The sequence below is a fragment of the Homo sapiens genome, chromosome 7, assembly GCF_000001405.40.
Source record: "Homo sapiens chromosome 7, GRCh38.p14 Primary Assembly".
Classification (NCBI taxonomy): Eukaryota; Metazoa; Chordata; class Mammalia; order Primates; family Hominidae; genus Homo; species Homo sapiens.
The window spans coordinates 142,199,024-142,222,940 of record NC_000007.14 but is presented as its reverse complement, the minus strand read 5'-3'; the positions used below and the strand labels follow the sequence as shown (position 1 = coordinate 142,222,940).

At 37.2% G+C, this 23,917-nt stretch overlaps 1 protein-coding gene across 5 annotated transcripts in view; it reads right to left on the bottom strand.

The window, feature by feature from the left end:
- The window catches only part of MGAM2 (maltase-glucoamylase 2 (putative)), a 110,607-nt gene continuing 87,306 nt past the window's right edge, over positions 617–23,917 (bottom strand). For 4 of the 5 annotated variants that reach the window (NM_001293626.2, XM_011516692.3, XM_011516693.3 and 1 more), the window contains 4 exons: positions 22,973–23,061; positions 14,319–14,368; positions 4,410–4,580; positions 617–3,071 (listed from right to left, as the gene is read on the bottom strand). In NM_001293626.2, the coding sequence (NP_001280555.1) occupies positions 882–3,071; positions 4,410–4,580; positions 14,319–14,368; positions 22,973–23,061 (2,500 nt within the window). In that variant the 3' untranslated portion in view covers positions 617–881. Of the gene's footprint in view, positions 3,072–4,409; positions 4,581–14,318; positions 14,369–14,634; positions 14,722–22,972; positions 23,062–23,917 lie in introns of those variants that run through there. The other variant, XR_927547.3, reaches the window with a different exon arrangement.

Below are 23,917 nucleotides of genomic sequence, written 5' to 3'. Positions count from 1 at the left end.
CTATAAGTGGAAGTACTTATAAAATCTGTAGTAAGAGTATTAGTAGTACCTATGAATTAATGGTTGCAAAGTTCAGGAATTTATGTTTTTAGGATCTATAATCATTTTATTTTCTGTGATAGTCAAACCCACATGTAATATTTATAATTTAAATTATTTCAGTGGCTGAAGTAAGGTTATACAAGATCTTCAATGGTAGAATTTTCTATATCTGTAGCTACAGCTAGGATCTCCTCAGAAGAAATAATACTATTAGTATGTGTAATGCAAATGACTCTATTGGTAGCTATGGCATTTGGAAAAGTCCATAGGATAATAAAGTGCATTTTTTTAGCATTACTAATTACATACTCTCCTGTAATATCAATAACTGTTGGTATAGAAACCATTTGAGTGCTGGGGGTATCACCAGTACTCTCAGTTATGGTACGTCATGTGACCCAAGAAACAAGTTGGGCTATTTCAGTAACTAAATCTAAGGCAATAGTATTTACAGAGCCTAATGTGGTGTTATCTGAGATACCAAAATTACCTGTGAAATCTGTAGCAAGGATATATAGGATATATAAAACATCTGTAGTTTAACTGATGAGGTTATAGGAGTAATAACTATAATTTAAAAGAATAAGAGCACATACTATGGTTGCAAAATAAGTACCCACAGCTTCTTTGGTGAAACCTATAAGGTTTGTAAACCTTCCTAAACATGTCTGCAATGACGAGAGTGTTTGGAGTAGCTGTGTCTTTTATGGCTAGAGTACTAATATCCGTGAAAACTTAAGTAGCATAAGATAGATAGAGTGTCTCGTAACTGATTTTCTATATCTGTAATAGTTGTTTGTAGGCGTTATCTGAGGTAACTATCCTGCCTTGAGTAGTAATCATGGAACTTGAGTAGCATTTATGGCATTTGCAATATAAGTAGGTGCAGTAGCAGAGGTATGTACTGTACTATCAGGAGTGGTAGTATTTAAAGCATATTTTGTAATATTTGTAGTATCTGTGGTAGCACTAGTTGCAGTAATAGGTAAATAAGTAGCCACAGAATTTATTACCATATGGGGAGTTTGTGAATCTAGACCAGTGGCTGTTATTGTGACTGAGGCTGTTGTGAGATTTGAAACAGAAATGTGTGTCGTGTTACCTGTAACACTGCTGGAGTTATCTGCATCAGTAATATCCATGGTGCCTAGATTAGAAAGATTTGTAGGAGCTAATGAGGTGTGGCTTAAGGCCAGTGTTGTAGTAGTAGCAGAATGGGGAGTAGCGAACTGTGTGATGTGTGTGGTGAATTTGTCTATGGAAGTAACTGTTGTATCTGGACTCATGGTATTATCTTTGGTGCTGGTAGTAGTGACCGTAGCATCTATTACCATGGTACTTTTTGTATCAAGAGTGTTGAAAATAATGGTGTTTGCATTTGTAGGGGTAGTAAAATTAGTAATTTTATCAGTAGTGAATGTATTACTTGTTGGAAACATGCTCAAAATAGAAGTAATAGAGCTAGGAATAGAAGTAAGAGTATGGGTAGGAATGGTAGGAGAAGTCTGGTAATAAGTAGTCATGCCAGGATTAGTATTATTACTTGTAGTAGTAGCATCAGTACTTGGAGAAGGAGTAGTCACAAAAGGAACACTATTACCAAAAGAAGTAGTTGTTATGGAAATACTATTACTAGTTATATTACCAGCAGACATTGTAGCTAAAAGAAAATTTGTCATAGAAGCATCATTATTTGTGCTAGCAACATCAGTACTTGTAGGAGAAGTAGTTGCCATAATAACAGTAGTGTTCATAGCATTAGTACTTTCAGAGAAAGAAGTGGTCATAATGGAAAAACTGTTGCTAGTAGTGTCAACACCAGTATTTGCAAGAGAAGGAATAGCTGTAACTGGAACAGTATTATTAGGAACAGTATCATCAGTACTTGTATGAGAGGTAGCAGTTATATTAGCAACATTAGTACTAGTGCTAGCATTAGTAGTATTTGTTTGAACAGGAGTACTTATATTATTAATAGTAGTACTAGTGCTAACATCAGTAGTACCTGTTAGAGAAGAAGTAGTGGCAATAAGTACAGTAGTACTAATGGTGGCATCAGCAGTACTTGTCAGAGAAGGAGTCACTGAAATGGGAACGGTAGCAATAGTACTCACAGTAGTACTACTTGTAGGAGAAGGCATAGTGGTATTAGGAACAGTATTACTAGTGTTAGCATCAGCAGTATTTGTAGGGGAAGGTGTGGTTGTAATAGGAACAGTAGCACTAGTGCTAGTACTAGTAGTACTTGTAGGGAAAGGAGCAGTTGTATCAGGAACAGTAGTACCAGTTGTAACACCAATAGTACTTGTTGCAAAAAGTGTGGTTGTGATAGGAACAGGGGTAGCATTAGTGCTAGCACTAGTAGTACTTGTAGGGAAAGGAGCAGTTGTATCAGGAACAGTAGTACTAGTTGTAACACTAATAGTACTTGTTGCAAAAGGTGTGGTTGTGATAGGAATAGTAGCATTAGTGCTAGCAGTAGTAGTATTTGTTGGGAAAGGGGCAGTTGTATCGGGAACAGTAGCATTAGTTGTAACACCAATAGTACTTGTTGCAAAACATGTGGTTGTGATAGGAACAGTAGCATTAGTGCTAGCAGTACTAGCATTTGTTGGGAAAGGGGCAGTTGTATTGGGAACAGTAGCATTAGTTGTAACACCAATAGTACTTGTTGGGAAAGGTGTGGTTGTGATAGGAACAGTAGCATTAGTGCTAGCATTAGTAGTACTTGTAGGGAAAGGAGAAGTTGTATCAGGAACAGTAGTATTAGTTGTAACACTAGTAGTACTTGGGAAAGATGTGGTTGTGATAGGAACAGTATCAGTAGTGCCAGTGGTAGTATTTGCACTGGCAGAACTGGTGATTGTCTCAGAACTGGTGGCATTGGTAGTAGATGGAGAAGGATGAGAACTCATTGGGATGGTACTTGTCTTAGTTGGAGTAGGAAGTACAGGACCACCATCAATCCAAGTAACCTCAGTTAACTTTTCCAGGTTGATAGTCTTGTCAGTCAATTGAATAGTTAGTATCTGCCAGAAAAGAAGAGATATAAATGGGTATTTTAGAACTTCTTAAACCTCACATGTAGCTCACCTCTTAAATTACAATTTAACAAAAAATGATGGATTCATTCCTTTCCAGTAATAGGATATAAACATTCCTTTTTGGGTTAGGTCATGTTGATTTTGGTCAGATAAATACAGAGAGATGCTCTGTGTGCATAATCCCTATGCTGGAAATCTTTTCTTTTCACTTCATTTAGTCAGAACCTTATTGTTTACAAATATTTGTAGCTGTGATTAAAACCAACATTTATTAAAATCTCTTTGCTTTGCCATTGGGTTTTAGTCCTCTTGACAGCAGGTTAGTTTCATGTTTTCCTCATTTCAAACAGTATGGTGTCTGGCACATAATAGGCATCAGATATGCCATAGAGTTTTTAAAAAGAAGGTATTCAAGGATTTTCTGCACAATCTTAACTAGAAGCAATTACTTGCAAAGAGTGGTTTTGAACTCAATAGTCCAGGTAAAATGCTTTAAGGTAAATACCCAGAAGAGCCTAGAGGGAGAAGATCTATTTGAGTGCTCAGAGGGGCCATTTTCCAAAGTCCAAATACCATCAGGGCACTCATTTCACGTTTTAGAAAACAAGAACTATGGTTATCCATTTTCACTTTTCTAAACCATCCCTTTTGGGTTGCTGGTTCCGTATTTATGTTGTCTTATGTTCTAAAAGTGAGATACTTTTTTCTTTGTGGTTGCCTTTGGTAACTATTGGTATTTCATCTTCCAAAATTCTGGTTTAGTTGATTCTAGAATCCTCTAGTAGGGCCTGCTATTTATGTCCCCCTGTTTTATCAACCTTTTATCCTATACCACAGGTGGGATGTATTCATTCGAAGATTACCACAGTTTACTGCCAATTTTCGTCTACCTATAAGATCCATCAATTTGACCAGGGACATGAATAACTGCAGGAAGCATGGGGGCAACCTTCAACAGCTTTAGGGAATCACCCTTTCCTTTGTTTTAGCCTCTGCAGCAGAAATAAGTTTTATTTTGCTAATGTGGAAGACTAACCTATCAAAACATAGCACAGTCTCTTTGGTAAATACATGGAGAGGATCTCATCAGGCCAGTGATCACTGACCCCTAGGCCATACTGGAAAGACCATTAATGTTGCATATTTTACAATATGATTCAACATTTGCAACTTTTCAGGAACATATCTATTGCACGTATTTATAACCATCTAATACATGAAAATTTAACAATGATAATTTTAATTGTTAGCAAAATTATTGGTGATAATTTTGCAGAATGATAAAATTTACTTGTGATATGCTAATATTCCTTTCAGACCTACCTGATTATAAGGTTCACTCTTGAAATTTGTCTCCATAAATTGCCGGTTGTCATAGGTGAAACTGACTTGTGTCACATAGGTATTCACACCCCAGATTCTAATATACCCAACTTTTAGTGGATTCGAGTCACTCAAATACTTATTGTGTATGGTCTGGATTTGCAGGATGTTCTATAAAGAATTTATAAAGAGAAAAGAATACATAACATATTGTTGATAGACTATGGTCCATATTAAAATATTAACAAACCTAAATTTACTTTTGTTATATTAGTTTGCTATTTCTATTTATGTATTTAAATTTTTATTGATACATAATAATTATACATATTTATGGAGAACATGTGATATTTTGATACATGTATACAATGTGTAGTGATCAAATCAGGGTATTTAGGATATCCATGACCTCAAATAGTCAACATTTGTTTGTTTGTTTGTTTGTTTTGAGATGGAGTCTCACTCTGTCACCCAGGCTGGAGTGCAATGGCGTGGTCTGGGCTCACTGCAACCTCCGCCTCCTGGGTTTAAGCGATTCTCCTGCCTCAGCCTCCTAAGCAGCTGGGACTATAGGTGTGTGCCACCATACCCGGCTAATTTTTGTATTTTTAATAGAGACGGGGTTTCACTATGTTGGCCAGGCTGGTCTCAAATCCCTGACCACGTGATCCTCCTGCCTCGGCCTCCCAAAGTGATGGGATTACAGGTGTGAGCCACCACACCTAGCCACATTCATCATTTCTTCGTGTTGGAAACATTTCAAATATTCTCTTCTAGCTATTTTGAAATATACAATAAATTGTTGTTAACTATCATCACCCTAGTATGTTAGCAAACACAAGAACTCACTCCTGCTATTTAACTGTCTCTTTGTTCCCACTAACCAACCTCTCTTTATGGCCCCCACCCCTTCCCAGCCTCTGGTTACTATAATTCTACTCTCCACACACTTCATGAAGACATACTTCCTGAGTACCTGCTATAATAAATTGGGTAATGCCACAAATAAGTTTATTGTACCAGCATTATGAAAGTTATTTTCCCTATATCATAAGTATTCTTATAATCATTTTGAAAAGAAAATATCATTATTGCTATCTTAGAGATAAGGAAACTGAGGCTCTGGAAAATGAAGTGAGTAGTCCAAAGCGACAAGGCTAGATAACATAGGTAAAGTTGGAAGCGCAAGGTGCCCCTGTACATAGTACTGCACAAGTTAATTTAGAGTGAACAAAGAAGTGTGGCAAACAGTCCCTAGACTGAGGACAGTGTGCAAGAAACATAGGAAGTTAACCAAATCATGAATTGTTTAAGTATCAATACAAGGGTTAAAATAATATGACATAAATTATGAGGTGGCACATGATGAAGGCCCAAATGAAAATCATAGTGGATATTTTTCATGGATGTGAAGAGAAAGGAAAAATTACATGGGAGGAAGAGGGTCAAGAGAGAACTTAGGAAGGACATGTAACTTCGGAACTCCTGGTAAGCATGGGAAGGATTTATTATGAGACAGGAAATAGGGGTACAGGGACACATTGAACAAAGCCACATTCATGGAGGAGTGCAAGGACAACCATAGCTGGTGCTGAGCAAACAGAGACGTGAGGCCAGTTAGGTATGTAAGGAAAGATTTTGAAGATTACATGCAATAATCAAGGAGATAGTTGTAGCAGAGGGAAGCTATGCATTTCTCAATTATGATGGCTGCAGTAGGAAGAGAAAAAAGAAACATGTTCAATTGGCATCATGAAGGATGAACAAGACTTTTGCTACTGGGCAGGCAGAATCAAGGAAAAAATATACAGCTCAAAATAAATGGGTGTACTAAAGCTAGTTCTTATTGATTTGAGAGAGTTGATTTTTAAATTTCCTAGAATTTTGCAAGCCAGCTGATGCTTGAAATTGGTTAAGATGGTGGGAGAAGCTACACTACAGAAATTAGCAAATGTTACAAATCATCTCCCACCCCCACAAGCTGGTTTACCAACCAGGAAACCGCTGATAATAGTTATCCCCTAAGGAAAGTTGCGATCTTTCTTTCATTTCAGGCCCCTTATTCTTAAGGAAATAATCTATCAAACATCACAGAAATAAGAATTCATTTATCAGAAAAATGGAATTTTGAAGTTAGATGTTATTAAAGGGCAATCTAATGTTTTACAATTTTTTAAAAAACACAGATTAAACAGTGTCTCTCCGAATTTGAATAATAGCAGTAGAAATAGAACTAAAATTCAGGACTTCCAGATCATTAAAATAATATTCATTAAAATAATATTTGAGAGGAAAAAATATGTAGAGTCTTCAACCCAACTACTCTTAAGGGCAGAGAATACACAAATTTAATTAGTATACAAAGTCTAGCAGTTAGTTTCAGAGAGGCCAAATGCAGGATGGAACAATATGACCTGATAATCATGTCTATGAGAATAATTTGAAGGTCTTAGCTGACCATGAGATTTATATGTGCCAAACATCTGATACATGTGTTAAAAAATAACACAATGTAATAACAGCAGAAAAAATATAGACTCTAGCTAAAAAGAGGTAGTAGGCAACATGGAAGTCTATGCCATCTTATAGAAATATAAGGGAAACTATATATGTAATTGAATACTTTCTAGTAGTCACATTTTTTTAAAAAGTGAAAAGAAAAAGGGTACATTAATTTCAAAATATATTTTATTTACATGATATAGCCAAAATGTTATTATTACAACATTTTTCAATATAAAATTATTCATGAGGTTTTTTTTTTTTTTTTTTTGAGACAGAGTTTCGCTCTTGCTACCCAGGCTGGAGTGCAATGGCGCGATCTCGGCTCACCACAACCTCTGCCTCCCAGGTTCAAGCGATTCTCCCGCCTCAGCCTCCCAAGTAGTGGGGATTACAGGCATGCGCCACCACGCCTAATTTTTGGATTTTGAGTAGAGACAGGGTTTTCTCCATGTTGGTCAGGCTGGTCTCAAACTCCCGACCTCAGGTGATCCACCTGCCTTGGCTTCCCAAAGTGCTGGCATTACAGGCATGAGCCACCACGCTCAGCCAAATGTTTTTTTTTTTTTTTAATTATACTTTAAGTTCTGGGATACATGTGCAGAACATGCAGGTTTGTTACATAGGTATACATGTGCCATGGTGGTTTGCTGCATCCATCAACCCATCAACCCGTCATCTACATTAGGGATTTCTCCTAATGCTATCTGTCTCCTTGCCCTCCACCCCCAACAGGCCCTGGTGTGTGAAGTTCCCCTCTCTGTGCCCATATGTTCTCATTATTCAACTCCCACATATGAGTGACAACATGCAGTGTTTGGTTTTCTGTTCCTGTGTTAGTTTGCTGAGTGTGATGGTTTCCAGCTTCATCCATGAGCCTGAAAAGGGCATGAACTCATTCTTTTTTATGGCTGCATACTATTCCATGGTATATATGTGCCACATTTTCTTTATCTGGTCTAACACTGATGGGCATTTGGGTTGGTTCTAAGTCTTTGCTATTGTGAACAGTGCTGCAGTAAACAGACTTGTGCCTGTTTCTTTATAGCAGAATGATTTATAACCCTTTGGGTATATACCCAGTAATGGGATTGCTGGGTGAAATGGTATTTCTGGTTCTAGATCCTTGAGGAATCACCACACTGTCTTCCACAATGGTTGAACTAATTTACACTCCCACTGACAGTGTAAAAGCATTCCTATTTCTCCACATCCTCTCCAGCATCTGCTGTTTCCTGACTTTTTGATAATGGCCATTCTAACTGGCATGAGATGATATCTCATTGTGGTTTTGATTTGCATTGGGAAGTATGACCATTTTCACGATACTGATTCTTCCTATCCATGAGCATGGAATGTTTTTCCATTTGCTTGTGTCCTCTCTTATATCCTTGAGTAGTGGTTTGTAGTTCTCCTTGAAGAGGTCCTTCACATCCCTTGTAAGTTGTATTCCTAGGTATCTTCTTCTCTTTGTAGCAATTGTGAGTGGGAGTTTGCTCATGATTTGGCTGTCTATTATTGGTGTATCGAAATGCTTGTGATTTTTGCACATTGATTTTGTATCCTGAGACTTTGCTGAAGTTGCTTATCACCTTAATGAGATTTTCGGCTGAGACAATGGGGTTTTCTAAATATACAATCACATCATCTGCAAATAGAGATAATTTGGCTTCCTCTCTTCCTATTTGAATAAGCTTTATTTCTTTCTCTTTCCTGATTGCCCTGGCCAGAACTTCCAATACTATGCTGAATAGGAGTGGTGAGAGAGGGCATCCTTGTCTTGTGCCGGTTTTCAAAGGGAAAGCTTCCAGCTTTTTCCTATTCAATATGATATTAGCTGTTGGTTTGTCATAAATAGCTCATATTATTTTTATATTTGTTCCATCAATACCCAGTTTATTGAGTGTTTTTAGCATGAAAGGGTGTTGAATTTTATCAAAGGCCTTTTCTGAATCTATTGAGATAATCATGTGGTTTTTGTCATTGGTTCTGTTTATGTGATGGATTGCAATTATTGACTTGCATATGTTGAACCAGCCTTGCATCCCAAGGATGAAGCCAACTTGGTCATGGCTTTTTGATGTGCTGCTGGATTCGGTTTGCCAGTATTTTATGGAGGACTTTTGCATTGATGTTCATCAGGGATACTGGCCTGAAATTTTCTTTTTTTATTGTGTCTCTGCCAGGTGTTGGTATCAGGATGATGCTGACCTCATAAAATGAGTTAGGGCAGAGTCCCTCTTGTTTGGAATAGTTTCAGGAGGAACGGTACCAGTTCCTCTTTGTACTTCTGGTAGAATTCGGCTGTGAATCTGTCTGGTCCTGGGCTGTTTTGGTTGGTAGGCTCTTAATTTAGTGCCTCAATTTCAGACCTTGTTATTGGTCTACTCAGGGATTCAACTTCTCCCTGGTTTTACCTTCAGAGGGTGTATGTGTCCAGGAATTTATCAATTTCTTCTAGATTTTCTAGTTTATTTGCATAGAGGTGTTTATAGTATTCTCTGATGGTAGTTTGTATTTCTGTGGGATCAGCGGTGATCTCCTCTCTACCATTTTTTATTGTGTCTATTTGATTCTTCTCTCTTTTTTTCTTTATTAGTCTGGCTAGCGGTCTAACTATTCTGTTAATCATTTCAAAAAACCAGCTCCTGGAGTCACTGATTTTTTTGAAGGGTATTTCGTGTCTCTCTCTCCTTCAGTTCTGCTCTGATCTTAGTTATTTTTTGTCTTCTGCTAGCTTTTGAACTTGTTTGCCCTTGCTTCTCTAGCTCTTTTAACTATGATGTTAGGGTGTTGATTTTAGATCCTTCCTGTTTTCTCCTGTGGGCATTTAGTGCTATAAATTTCCCTCTGAAAACTCCCAGAGATTTTGATATGTTGTGTCTTTGTTTTTGTTGGTTTCAAAGAACTTATTTATTTCTGCCTTAATTTCATTATTTACTCAGTAGTCATCCAGGAGCAGGTTGTTCAGTTTCCCTGTAGTTGTGTGGTTTTGAGTGAGTTTCTTAATCCTGAATTCTAATTTGATTGCACTGCGGTCTGAGAGACTCTTTGTTATGATTTCTGTTCTTTTTCATTTTCTGAGGAGCGTATTACTTCCAATTATGTGGTTGATTTTCGAATAAGTGCTATTGGTGCTGAGAAGAATGTATATTCTGTTGATTTAGGGTGGAGAGTTCTGTAGATGTCTATTACATCTGCTTGGTCCAGAGCTGAGTTCAAGTTCTGAATATCCTTGCTAATTTTCTGTCTTGTTGATCTGTCTAATATTGACAGTGGGTGTTAAAATCTCCCACTATTATTGTGTGGGAGTCTAAGTCTCTTTGTAGGTCTCTAAGGACTTGCCTTATGAATGTGGGTGCTTCTGTATTGGGTGCATATATATTTATGGTAGTTAGCTCTTAACATTATGTAATGGCCTTCTTTGTCTTTTTTGATATTTGTTGGTTTAAAATCTGTTTTATCAGAGATGAAAATTGCAACCCCTGCTTTTTCTTTTTACTTCCCATTTGATGGGCAAATCTTCCTCCATCCCTTTATTTTGAGCCTAGTGTGTCTTTGCACATGAGATGGGTCTTCTGAATACAGCACACCAGTGGGTCTTGACTCTTTATCCAATTTGCCAGTCTGTGCCTTTTAATCAGAGCATTTAGCCCATTTACATTTAAGGTTAATACTGTTATTTGTGAATTTGATCCTGTCATTATGATGCTAGCTGGTTATTTTGCCCATTAGTTGATGCAGTTTCTTCATAGTGTCAATGGTCTTTACATTTTGGTTTATTTTTGCAGGAGCTGATACTCATTTTTCCTTTTCCATATTTAGTGCTTCCTTCAGGAGCTCTTGTAAGGCAGGCCTAGTGGTGACCAAATCCCTCAGCATTTGCTTGTAAATGGATTGCTTGTAAAGGATTTTATTTCCCCTTCACTTATGAAGCTTAGTTTGGCTGGATTTGAAATTCTGGGTTGAAAATTCTTTTCTTTAAGAATGTTGAATATTGGCCCCCATTCTCTTCTGGCTTGTGAGGTTTCTGCAGACAGATCTGCTGTTAGTCTGATGGGCTTCCCTTTGTGGGTAACCCAACCTTCCTCTCTGGCTGACCTTAACATTTTTTCCTTCATTTCAACCTTGGTGAATCTGACAATTATGTGTCGTGGGGTTGCTCTTCTTGAGGAATATTTTTGTGGTGTTCTCTGTATTTCCTGAATTTGAATGTTGGCCTGTCTTGCTAGGTTGGAAAATTCTCCTGGATAATACCTTGAAGTGTGCTTTACAACTTGGTTCCATTCTCCTCGTCACTTTCAGCTACACCAATCAAATGTAGGTTTGGTCTTTTCACATAGTCCCATATTTCTTGGAGGCTTTGTTTGTTCCTTTTCATTCTTTTTTCTCTAATTTTGTCTTCACGCTTTATTTCATTAAGTTGCTGTTCAATCTCTGATATCCTTTCTTTTGCTTGATCTATTCAGTGATTGATACTTGTGTTTGCTTCACGAAGTTCTCATGCTATATTTTTCAGCTCCATCAGGTCATTTATGTTCTCTCTAAACTGGTTATTCTAGTTAGCAATTCCTCTAACCTTTTATCAAGGTTCTTAGCTTCCTTGCATTGGGTTAGAACATGCTCCTTTAGCTCGGAGGAGCTTGTTATTACCCACCTTCTGAAGCCTATTTCTGTCAGTTCATCAAATTCGTTCTCTCTCCAGTTTTGTTCCCTTGCTGGTGAGGAGTTGTGATCCTTTGGAGGAGAAGGGGCATTCTGGTTTTTGGAATCTTTAGGCTTTTTGCACTGGGTTTTCCTCATCTTCGTGGATTTATCTACCTTTGGTCTTTGCTGTTGGTGACCTTCGGATGGATTTTTTGCATGGTCATCCTTTTTGTTGATGTTGATGCTATTGCTTTCTGTTTGTTAGTTTTCCTTCTAATAGTCAGGCCCCTCTTCTGCAGGTCTGCTGGAGTTTGCTGGAGGTCCACTCCAGACCATGTTTGCCTGGGTATCACCAGTGGAGACTGCAGAACAGTTAAGATTGCTGCCTGCTCCTTCCTCTGGAAGCTTCATCCCAGAGGGGCACCCACCAGATTCCAGCTGGAGCTCTCCTGTATGAGGTGTCTGTTGACCCCTGCTGGGAGGTATCTCCCTGTCAGGAGGCACGGGGGTCAGGGACCCACTTGAGGAGGCAGTCTGTCCCTTAGCAGAGCTCCAGCACTGTGCTGGGAGATCCACTGCTCTCTTCAGAGCTGGCAGGCAGGAAGGTTTAAGTCTGCTGAAGCTGCATCCACAGCAGCCCCTTCCCCCAGGTGTCTGTCCCAGAGAGATGGGAGTTTTATCTACAAGCCCCTAACTGGGGCTGCTGCCTTTTTTTCAGAGATGCCCTGCCCAGACAGGAGGAATCTAGAAAGGCAGTCTTGCTACAGCGGCTTTGTGGAGCTGTGGTGGGCTCTGCCCAGTTCGAACTTCCTGGTGGCTTTGTTTACACTGTGAGGGGAAAACCGCCTACTCAAGCCTCAGTAATGGCGGATGCCCCTCCCTCCACCAAACTCGAGCTTCCCACGTCAACTTCAGACAGCTGTGCTGGCGGCGAGTATTTCAAGCCTGTGGATCTTAGCTTGCTGGGCTCTGTGGGGTTGGGATCCGCTGAGCAAGGGCACTCGGCTCCCTGGCTTTCCAGGGGAGTGAATGGTTCTGTCTCACTGGTGTTCCAGGCACCACTAGGGTATGAAAAAAAAAAAACTCCTGAAGCTAGTTTGGTATCTGCCCAAACGGCCACTCAGTTTTGTGCTTGAAACCCAGGGTCCTGGTGGTGTAGGCACCTGAGGGAATCTCCTGCTCTGTGGGTTGCAAAGACCATGGGAAAAGTGTAGTATCTGGGCCAGATAGCACTGTCCCTCGTGGCTTCCTTTGGCTACGGGGGGAGTACCCTGACCCCTTGTGCTTCCTGGGGGAGGTGACACCACACCCTGCTTCTCCTCGCCCTCTGTGGACTTCACCCACTGTCTAATCAGTCCCAGTGAGATGAACCAGGTATCTCAGTTGGAAATGCAGAAATCACCTGCCTTCTGCATTGATCTCACTGGGAGCTGCAGGCCAGAGCTGTTCCTATTTGGCCATCTTGCCCAGGAAGCCCACAAATCATTTTTGAATTTTTTAAGCTAACTTTTGAATATTTCAAATTAGGCTGGTCACATTTCAAGTGTTCAATAGCCACATGTGGCTAGTGGCTATCATACTGGATAGACAGCTCTAAAATATGCTCTCGGTTCTGATGTTTTAAAAGAAATCTAAGTTAACTGGAGTCTAAACAGAATGATCAGACCTGGAAACCACTATAAGCAGGAAATAGAGAAAATATGAAGTTAGCCTGGTGATGTATAATTCTAAGAAGACAAAAGAAATAACTGAGAGACATCTTCAAATATGTGAATCACTGTTATAGAAAAAAAATAGATTTGTGCTATATTACTTCTTGGTTAAAGTGACTAGGTAAAAATAGAGAAGCAGAATCCAGTTTGACCTAGAATGATTCTCCTCATACTCTAATTAAAATTATGTAGATTACCAATGGGATCATTTAATATGCAAGGTGCATTGATTGCATCACTGTTATGAAATATTCAACCCTTACAAATCCATACCCCTTTCCATGCAGTTTTGCAATGCCCTCCCACTCCAGTTGAGGCATTCTGTCCCTCCTCTGTCTCTGGGCTTGACCATGTGATTTTGCTTTGGTAATGGGAAATTAGTCAACTCGATACAAAAAAATTATAAAGAACTAAGGGATCTCCACTTTTATTTTTATTTTAGCCCTCTTCCATAATTATGAAGAAGCCGTGCCTAGACCTTCCCACAAGGCCATGATAAATCATATGAGAGTCAGCTGACCCCCCAGATATGTGAATACAGCCAAGATTACCTAAACAGCCCAATAGACCCAAGACTAACTGGAGATGTATGTGAGCTAGCAAAGATCAGCCAAGACCAGACCCACATCCTCTGAGCCCTGCAAGCTCATGAGCTAAGTAAGTGCTTATTGTTAGATACCACTAAGGTTTTGAGGTCGTCTTTTATGCATTATTGCATAATAAGTAGCTTATATAGCATTTTTCTTTCAAAATTTATCAGCTAGTAAATTTCTCATCTTTGGAAAACATGTTACACATTTAAGGCCCCATTTTTTCCCCAGCATTGTATGAATTCCAAGTTTCTTTTCATGGAGATAGTATACTGGAAAACTGCCAAAGTAAGGATTGTTTCTTCCTTACTTTAATGACAACAGACCTGGATTATAAAAGTAAAGGCAAGAAGAACCTCCTATTAAGATGTGGGATATTACATTTACGCAGTTAACTGTAATGTTTAATCTGTAGACACCTGGGAAAAGATTTGTAAAATGTAGTAAATTAGTCTTACCTGAGCTGCTATAAAGTTTGCCAAAAAATAATTTCCATTTTCATAGGTATCTGCAAACAAGGAAAAGAAAAGAATAAGCAACTACTAACTGCTTCAATTGCAGCAAATAATCTTGAGCGTGGTCAGAAACCACACTCTCAATGGGGTCACAGTTACTGATGATTGTCACCTCTCTGAGGAGCACTGAAGAGAGTGGCTAAGAGACTATTTCACTGCATGTTAGTGTGGGGATGTGCAAATGCAAATGGGTACCTTGCCGGGGAGGTCAGAAGGTTACAAATGCAAGAGAATCTGGGTTGAACAAAGGATAGATTACCTGAAGTGTGGAGACTACTGTTTGGTTATTCTGTGCGAGACAGCAAGCATGTAGTCATAGGAGTTCACATAGCAGTGGTGTTAAAGACTATGATGATAAAGCAGAGGCGAGTGGTTAGGAATTTAGGCTCCCAAGTCAGGTAGACATGGGTTGAAATCCCAACTCTTGTACTTAATAGCTGTGCAAACTCAGACAAGTTACTTAACATTTTATCATCTATAGAATGGAGATAATAGTACCTAGTTAGTGGCAATAAGGTACATAATGTTCGGCTTGTGCACAATAAGTGCTTAAAATTGATTGCTCACTGTCGTCAAAGTCGTCATCAATCTTCACCTTCACCATTCTTCTCTCCCTACTCTTAGCTCATCCTCCCACAGTGCTCCAGATTCCAAGCACTTCTGCCTCTGTAGAATTTATTCCATCGATTCTTCCCTATACCTTCTCTGCTTTTTCAAGCTACATTTATGCTCCAGAGTACTCTGTTCTGATAATACTTTTACCTAATTCTATTTATATCGAGCTACTACCGCATCTCCTTTTTATTACCATACATCTTAAAAAGGTAGCCTTTGCTGGGCTGGGCGCGGTGGCTCACGACTGTAATCCCAGCATTTTGGGAGGCCGAGGCGGGCGCATCACGAGGTCAGGAGCTCGAGACCGTCCTGGCTAACATGGTGAAACCCTGTCCCTACTAAAAATACTAAAACAAAATTAGCCGGGCGTGGTGGTGGGCGCCTGTAGTCCCAGCTACTCGGGAGGCTGAGGTGGGAGAATGGCGTGAACCCAGGAGGCGGAGCTTGCAGCGAGCCAAGATCGCGCCACTGCACTCCAGCCTGGGCGACAGAGTGAGACTCCGTCTCAAAAAAATAAATAAAAATAAATAAATAAATAAATAAATAAATGTAGCCTTTACTTGTTATGTCTGTGTACCCAACTCATAATTCAATCTTACATCTCCTAAACTCCAGCTCCTGTGTTTCCTTTTTCCATGGAATCTGACCCTTTCTAAGTCACCAGTGACATAGTATATAAAATCTAAATATCTCCTCACACTGTTCAGGATTTTTAGGCCACTTTGCCCACACACCTCTCCTTTGAAATACTCCTTACTTTATGTCTCCTTCCCATATGGTTCCTATAACTCCCTGTTTCTGAAAAATCAGTTTCACTTCATGTTCTGTTCTTGGCCCTTCTCAACATTCCAACTCTTGTCAGTATTCCAACATATTCTCTCCCAAACCAACTAACTCTCGAAGTATTCTAAATTACCTCCACTTTTATGGAAGCAATTATACAACTCATATTTTAAAATTTAGTCTTGGCTAGAAAATGCAACCTGGGCAAACACTACAGCCTCTTCTAGCAGTTAATAAAAAAATTGTAAAGAATGGGATTCTGTTAACATGTTCTTTTAAGATTATCCTTGAACAGCCATTATATCACCTATGTGAGGAAAAGTTAAATAAATGGTTCCAAGTCTGCTAATAGAACATTTAAATGACACTTACACTGTATCTTAGTAGTCTGAATTTGAATTTTTAAGCATATTTGATGTTTAAAAAGGCTAAAAACCTTCTCCATAAAAATTTACAAGTTTGAAAGTTTCAGGTACTATTAATTTTTAATCTTAAGACTAAAATATACTGTAATAGAAAGTTAAAATCTTGTAGGAAATGGCTTTATTCCTTTAAATTTTTGAAACATATTGCTCATAGGGGGTTGATTTTGCATACTAATTGTGATGTTATTAACCTACTATGACATCACTCATCTAGTCCTAATTAGCTAAACCTGTATCAAAGGACTTTCTATGTTCTCTTAAAACATTGATCCTCAACCAGCAGTAATTTTGCCTCTCTGGAGACATTTTACAATATTTAGAGATCATGTAGTTATCTTGAAGATAACTTTGCTTTTGACATCAAGTGGGGAGAGGGCAGGGATGCTGCTAAACATGTATAATAACCAGCCCAGCCACCACCACAAAATAATTATTTAGCCCAAAACGTCAGTATTGCTGAGGTTGAGAAAAACCGCTTTAAAATAAGGCCCATTTTTGAAAAAGAACTAAATTGAAGAACTCATGCTTCCTGATTTTAAAACTTACTACAAATCCACTGTAATCAAGACAGTGCAGTGCTGACATAAGAATAGACATATAGATTAAGGCAATAGAAATGAAAATTCAGAAATAAATCCTCACAGTAATGGTCTATTGATTTTTAACAAAAATTCCAAAATAATTCAATGAGAAAAATAATAGACTTTTCACAGATGATTCTGGGACAACTGTAATCCACATACAAAAGAAAGAAGTTAGACCCCTGCCTCACACCATACACAAAAATTAACTCAAAAAGAATCAAAGACCTAAATGTAAGAGCTAAAACTATAAAACTCTTAGAAGAAAATCTAGTAGCAAATACTTGGGACTTTGTAATGTGCAATGGTTTCTTAGCTATAACACCAAAAGCACATTAAACGAATAGAAAAAAATAGATAAATTAGACTTCATCAAAATTTAAAAGTTTGTGCCTCAAAAGAGGCACCTGCTAAATGAGAGAGAATATTTGAAAATCCTGCATCGGATAAGGGACTTTTAGCTAAATTCTATAAAGACTGTTTATGATTCAATAATAAGGACACTTTAATTTTACAATGTGAAAAGAATATAAGCAATCATTTCTCTGAAGAAAATGTACACATGAATAATAAGTACATGTAAAGATGTTCAACAACATTAGTTATCAGAGAAATATAAATTAATCAAAACCACAAAAAACTACAGCTTTTCACCCACTGGAATGATCATAATTAAAAAAATAGATAATAAATGTTGACAAGGAAGAAGAGAGATCAGAACCCTCATACACTGCTGATTGAGATGTAAAATGGTGCTGCCTCTATAGAAAACAGTTGGATATTTTATCAACAGTTAAACATAGAGTTACCACATAAGCCAGAAATTTCACTCCCAGGTATGTATAATATACAAGAGAGTTTTTAAAAGTGTGTCTATTCAAGGACTTATATTCAGATGTTCATAGCAGCATTATTTATAATAGCCAAAAAGTGGAAACAACCCAAATGTCCATCAATTGATGAATGGATATATACCAAGCACTTGTCATGATCTGACAACAAAAACAGTCTGCAGTCCCATTGGCAAGACTCACTGAGGTACCAAAGTGTTGACTGTCTAATCATGGGCACTAACTCCTTTTATTATCATTCCTTGCTCACCTAGCAAACCCCTGATTAAACGTTCATCTTTCACAAAGGCTTAATTTGAGAAAAAATATGTACTTTCCCAAGAGACAGGAATATTAAAATGCATTTAATAAATACAGTTCTTAAATTTAAAAATTGGCACCGTAGTATGCCCTTATAAGGCTCAAGTCCTGCTACAGCTTTGAAATTCAGGATGGCTGGTCAACCTCCTCTTTTTGACTTTTGGATGCCTTATTGTCTTATTATCTTATTAACCACACTAACTTTATTTTATTTACGTATTTATTTATTTTCATTTTGTTTTCATAAGTTAGACATGCTAATTTTATGTAAAGTAGCTCATATTAAATGTTTAGAATAGAGTTTTATTTACTTTACATATTAATAACACATTTTGTTCAGAACTCATGTGCCAGGAATGTTTTATGTATGTTAAATCATTTTATCCTCATAAAATTACAACATAGGTGTATGTTGTAGATACTAAAGAAGAATAAATGGAGACAACAAAATAAGTAATTTTCCAGAAGATATACAACTAGAAAGTTACTGAGATGGTATTCAAACCTAGATCTATTTAATTTCAGAATACCACATGCCTCTCCTAGAGCTTCTTATCAGATTATGTTAAAAAGCAAGTCCAAAGACTGAACTGAGCTCTGAAGAGAGAAGTTGTTTAATTCCTTCATATTTTTTCTTTAGCAAGTTTTCACCCATAAATAGAAAATAAAACCATTTGAAAAATATCTCTCATATATCATATTAAGTGAATATAGGTTATAATATATTATCCATAAACTGTTAGGAGAAATTTAAAATATATTTAAAATACCATCAAAAACTTAAAAATACTTAGGACATATTTAACAAAATATGTACAAGAACTATACGCCAAAAATTATAAAACATTGCTAAGAGTAATTAAAGATCTAAGTAAATGGTAATTATATAGAGCTAGATAGGTAGATAAGTAGGTAAGTAGATGAGAGAAAGAGACAGAGAAAAAAAAGAGATGACAAATATTCAAAAATTGGTCTTAAGAATAAAAGCAATTACAGTCAAAATTCCAGAAGGTGGTCTTGTTGTTAAAAAGTGACAAGCTGATTTTAAAATCTGTGTGAAATACAAAAGAGCTAAAATAACCAAAGAAAAAGAAGAACATGAAGAGCATTTCCTTCTAGGATTTTTATAGTTTGAGGTCTTACATTTAAATCTTCAATCCATCTCGAGTTAATTTTTTTATACAGTGAAAGGTAAGGGTTCAGTTTCATTCTTCTGCACATGGCTAGCCAGTTGTCCCAGTACCATTTATTGAATAGAGTCTTTCCCTACTGCTTGTTTTTGTCACCTTTGTCAAAGATTAGATGGTTGTAGGTGTGTGGCTTTATTTCTGGATTTTCTATACTGTTCTATTGCTATGTGTCTGTTTTTATACCAGTACTATGCTATTTTGGTTACTATAGCCTTATAGTACAGCTTGATGTTGGGTAGTGTGATACCTCTGGTTTTCTTCTTTTTGCTTAGGATTGCTTTGGCTATTTGGGCTCTTTTTCTGGTTCCATAGGAATTTTAGAATAGTTTTTTTCTAATTCTGTGAAAAATGACATTGCTAGTTTGATAAGAATAGTGTCGAATCTGTACATTGCTTTGATTCCTCAAATCCATGAGCATGGAATGTTTTTTTCCATTTATGTGTCTTGTCTGATTTCTCAACGTTGGTCTTGGCAAAATATTTTTGGCTAAGCCCCCAAAAGCAATTACAACAAAAACAAAAATTGACAAGTTGGACTTAATTAAACTACAGAGCTTCTTCACAGTGAAAAAAGCTATCAACAGAGTAGACAACCTACAGAGTAGGAGAAAGTATTCACAAGCTATGCATCCAACAAAGGTCTAACATCCAGATTCTATAAGAAACTTAAATCAAGAAGCAAAAGTCAAATAACCCCATTAAAAAATAGCCAAAGGACATGAACAGACACTTCTCTAAAGAAGACATGTAAATGGCCAATAAACATGAAAAAATGCTTATCATCACCAATCATTACAGAAATGCAAATCAAACCCACTATTATTAAAAAGTCAAATAATAACATATGCTAGCAAGGCTGCAGAGAAAAGGAAATGCTTAAACACTGTTGGTGGAAATGTAAATTAGTTCAGCCACTATGGAAAGTAGTCTGGAGATTTATTAAAGAAATTAAAACAGGACTACAATTCAACCCAGCAATCTCATTACTTGGTATGTCCCAAAGGAAAATAAATCATTCTACCAAAAGGACCCATGTGCTCTTATGTTCCTCACAGCACTATTTACAATTACAAAGACATGGAATCAACCCAGGTGCCTATCAGCAAAGGATTGGATAAAGAAAAAGTGGTACATATACACCATGGAATACTACACAGCCATAAAAAAGAATGAAATCATGTCCTATGCAGCAGCATGGATGCAGTTAGAGGTCACAATCTTAAGAAAATTAACACAGAAAAAGAAAACCAAATAATGCATTTTCTTACTTATAAGTGGGAGCTGAACACTGAGTACACATGGACATAAAGACGAGAACAATAGACACTGCAGGCTATTAGATGGGGTAACAAGGAATGGGGGCATGGGTTGAAAAACTACCCATTAGTTACTATGCTCACTGCCTGGGTGACGGGATCCATACCCCAAACCTCAGCATCATACAATACATCCATGCAACAAACCTGCACATGTACACCCTATATCTAAAATAAAAGTTGAAATTATAAAAATATTATCATTTTATATAAGGAACTTGAGCATCTGTGGAATTTGATATCCGCAGGGGTCCTGGAACCAACCGCCTATGGATACCCAGGGACAGCAGTACTTCTTTCTAGTCAGCTTCTCCCCAGTCCTGATCCTTCCTTCCAGGATCTGGCAACTACTGTTCTGCTTTCTGTGACTATAGACTGGATTTGTATTTTCTAGATTTTATATGAATAGAATCATACAATATGTACTATTTTTGTATTTTTAGCATCTTTCACTTAGCAAAAATGCCTTTTACATTCATCCATGCTGTTGCATGTAAAAGAAATTAATTGCTTTAATTGCTTTTTATTCCTAATAATAATCCATGGTGTCTTCCATGGTAATATTCCATGACTATTGACCAATATACTTATTGATGAATATTTCAGTGGTTTCATTTTTTGACCATTAAAATGAATCTGACATTATTATTTGAATGTAAGTTATTTTGTGGTATAATATTTGCATATAACCTATACACATCCTCCCGTGTACTTTAAATAATCTCCAGGGTACTTATAAAACCTGATCCAATGTAAACATTATGTAAATCATTGGTATCCTGTATTGTTTACAAAATAGTAACAAGAAAAACATGTCTGTACATGGTCAATACAGATGCAACTATTGTAGGCTAACTGCATTTTCAAACCACAGTTGGATGAATCCGCAGGCTGACTATAAAAGGCGAACTTTCAGGGTTATAAAAATATTCCACATCTTCATTGTGGTAGTGGCTATACAACTGTACACATTTGTCAAAACCTAACTGTATTCTTAAAATGGATACATTTTATTTGTATAAATCACAACTTTTTTAAAGTTGATTAAAAGACAGTAATATCACTTCCAGGAATCTACTCTATGGACGTAATCTAAAATGGAAACAATGGTTAATACTCAAGGATGTTATATATGGGCTGGGAACGGTGGCTCATACCTGTAATCTCAGCACTTTGGGAGGCCGAGGTGGGTGAATCACTTGAGGCCAAGAGTTCGAGACCAGCCTGGCCAACATGGCGAAACCCCATCTCTACTAAAAATACAAAAATTAGTGGGTGTTGTGCCACACACCTGAAATCCCAGCTACTCGGGAAGGCTGAGCCAGGAGAATCACTTGAATTAGGGAGGAGGAGGTTGCAGTGAGCTGAGATCGTGCCACTGCAGCCTGAATGAGAGAGTGAGACTCAAAAAAAAAAAAAAAAGAAAAAAAAAAGAAAAAGGATGTTATTTATAACAATGAAAATTAAAACCAACCTGTACATATTCTCTCAATAGAATATGATCATCATACATAATGGTATTTATAAGGAACAAATAATAACATTCACACATGTTTCTGTCATTATGTTAGAGGAAAATAAACAGGATTCACAAATTAAATATGCAAAATGTTTTCAGCCATATTAAAAATTAAGCATTTTCTTAATACAAAAGCCAAAGTTAGTACAGCAAAAATATTAAAAGTGCTTGTATTTTTTTCTAATTTTCTGTCTTTAACATGTGTTGTAAAGAATATCTACTTCTTTAATGAGAATTTCTTATCTTTATAATGAAGGAACCTAAAAAAGAAGGAATCTCTAGAAATATTAGTAGTGAAAAATAAGCTATACTATAATTTCAGAAAATGTGGTATGTTGCAAGATTAGAAGGTTCTGGTCCACAGTAATAAGTAGTGAAAAGTGAGAGTCAGCTAGTAACAGTGTGTCCATATATCTATAGAAAATTCTGAGTTAGAGGGTGTTCTGATGATAATGACAAATCTCACTTACCTAAGTAGAACTAACATACTCTATCTCAACTGGGGAAAGGAAACATACAAATTAATATTTCATCGATGTAAGTATCCTTTGGGCAACACTTAATTCCCAATTTATGAGTCACCAAGAAATTTTCTAACCTCTAAATTGCCTCTTGAGCAGGCCTATTTGTGAGGAACAGGGTGCCTGGTATAGATGGCTGATCCAAATGATAGAGTCATGTTTCTGTCCCATTGAGAATGAATTAACCATCAGCCTGATATTTGCATCCACACTTCTTTTTAAATCAAGAGTGAGACAGTTATACAGAGATAGATCATCCCTGGCTGAATGCATAACAGCAAGTTTCTGAACCTACAAAGCTGGGGACTGTACCCAGTCTATACTAACTATAGTATAATATAAATGAGCAGGCAAAAGTTGGAAAAATTCTCCAAATGTTATTGCCTTATTGACAATAGGCAGAGAGAGGTTTTCAGTTCATGTTAGTTATATGCCGAGCCTCTATGGTATGATTTTTCTCAGTGATGTACAGGGACCCTGGAAAGTTTATACTCACCAATGCTTTGTCCATCATCCCAGAACACCTGGCCTTCAGCTGTCCCATTGTCATCCAAAGCAACAATCAATCCCATAAAATTTTGTCGACTACCAAAAAAAAAAAAAAGAGTTATTTTTCTCTAGATTGTAGGTTGTAAGAATAAAGAACAGACTGTGTTAAAAACATTACTTATCTAGAAATAAAAGAAATGTATTAAATATGCATATAAAGTTCTAAAAATAGGTACAATAGATAAAATATAAGACATTTAAAAGTTAATGGAAAACGTTTAAAATTTAATAAAACATTTGGTTTAGCTTCAATTTCTAAAAATCAAATATACATACAAGTAATATAATGAAATATTAATTTCATAGGAAGAAAATCCCTCAAAAGAGAATCCTCAGTAGCTTCCAGGTTGCCACAGAATAAAATCCAAAGTAGTGGCTTGGCATTCACCACCCTCCAGGATCTGATCCTAACCTGCTGGAGTTTTACTTATTTTTATCTCTTCCTTTATCTGTCCTCCAGTTAAACTGGATGGTTTATGTTCCCAAACCCAAGCCATTTTTCACCTTCAGTTCTTTAATCGACCAGGATCTCTCTTTCCCCTTTGTACATTCAAATCTAAAAGATCCAGCTCAAAGCCCTCTTTCATATAAACCATGTGTTATACCACAAGGCTGAAAGTTAACTTCTCTCCTTTTGACTTGTTATTATGTGCCTTTCTTGATGTGACGTGTTCTGTTTAATCAATGATTTTATAAATTTTTACATATTATATGTGTAATTTATATACGTGTATGTACACACACACAACACACAAGCATATCTTTCCTTGATTGACCAAAGCAGACCTAGGAATGAACATTAAGTTCTAGGATAGGACAAGGACTCAGTCCTACCTAGTTCTTGTTCAATCACAAGTCAAAGAGCTCATTAACATTCCCTATTCCTTTTTAA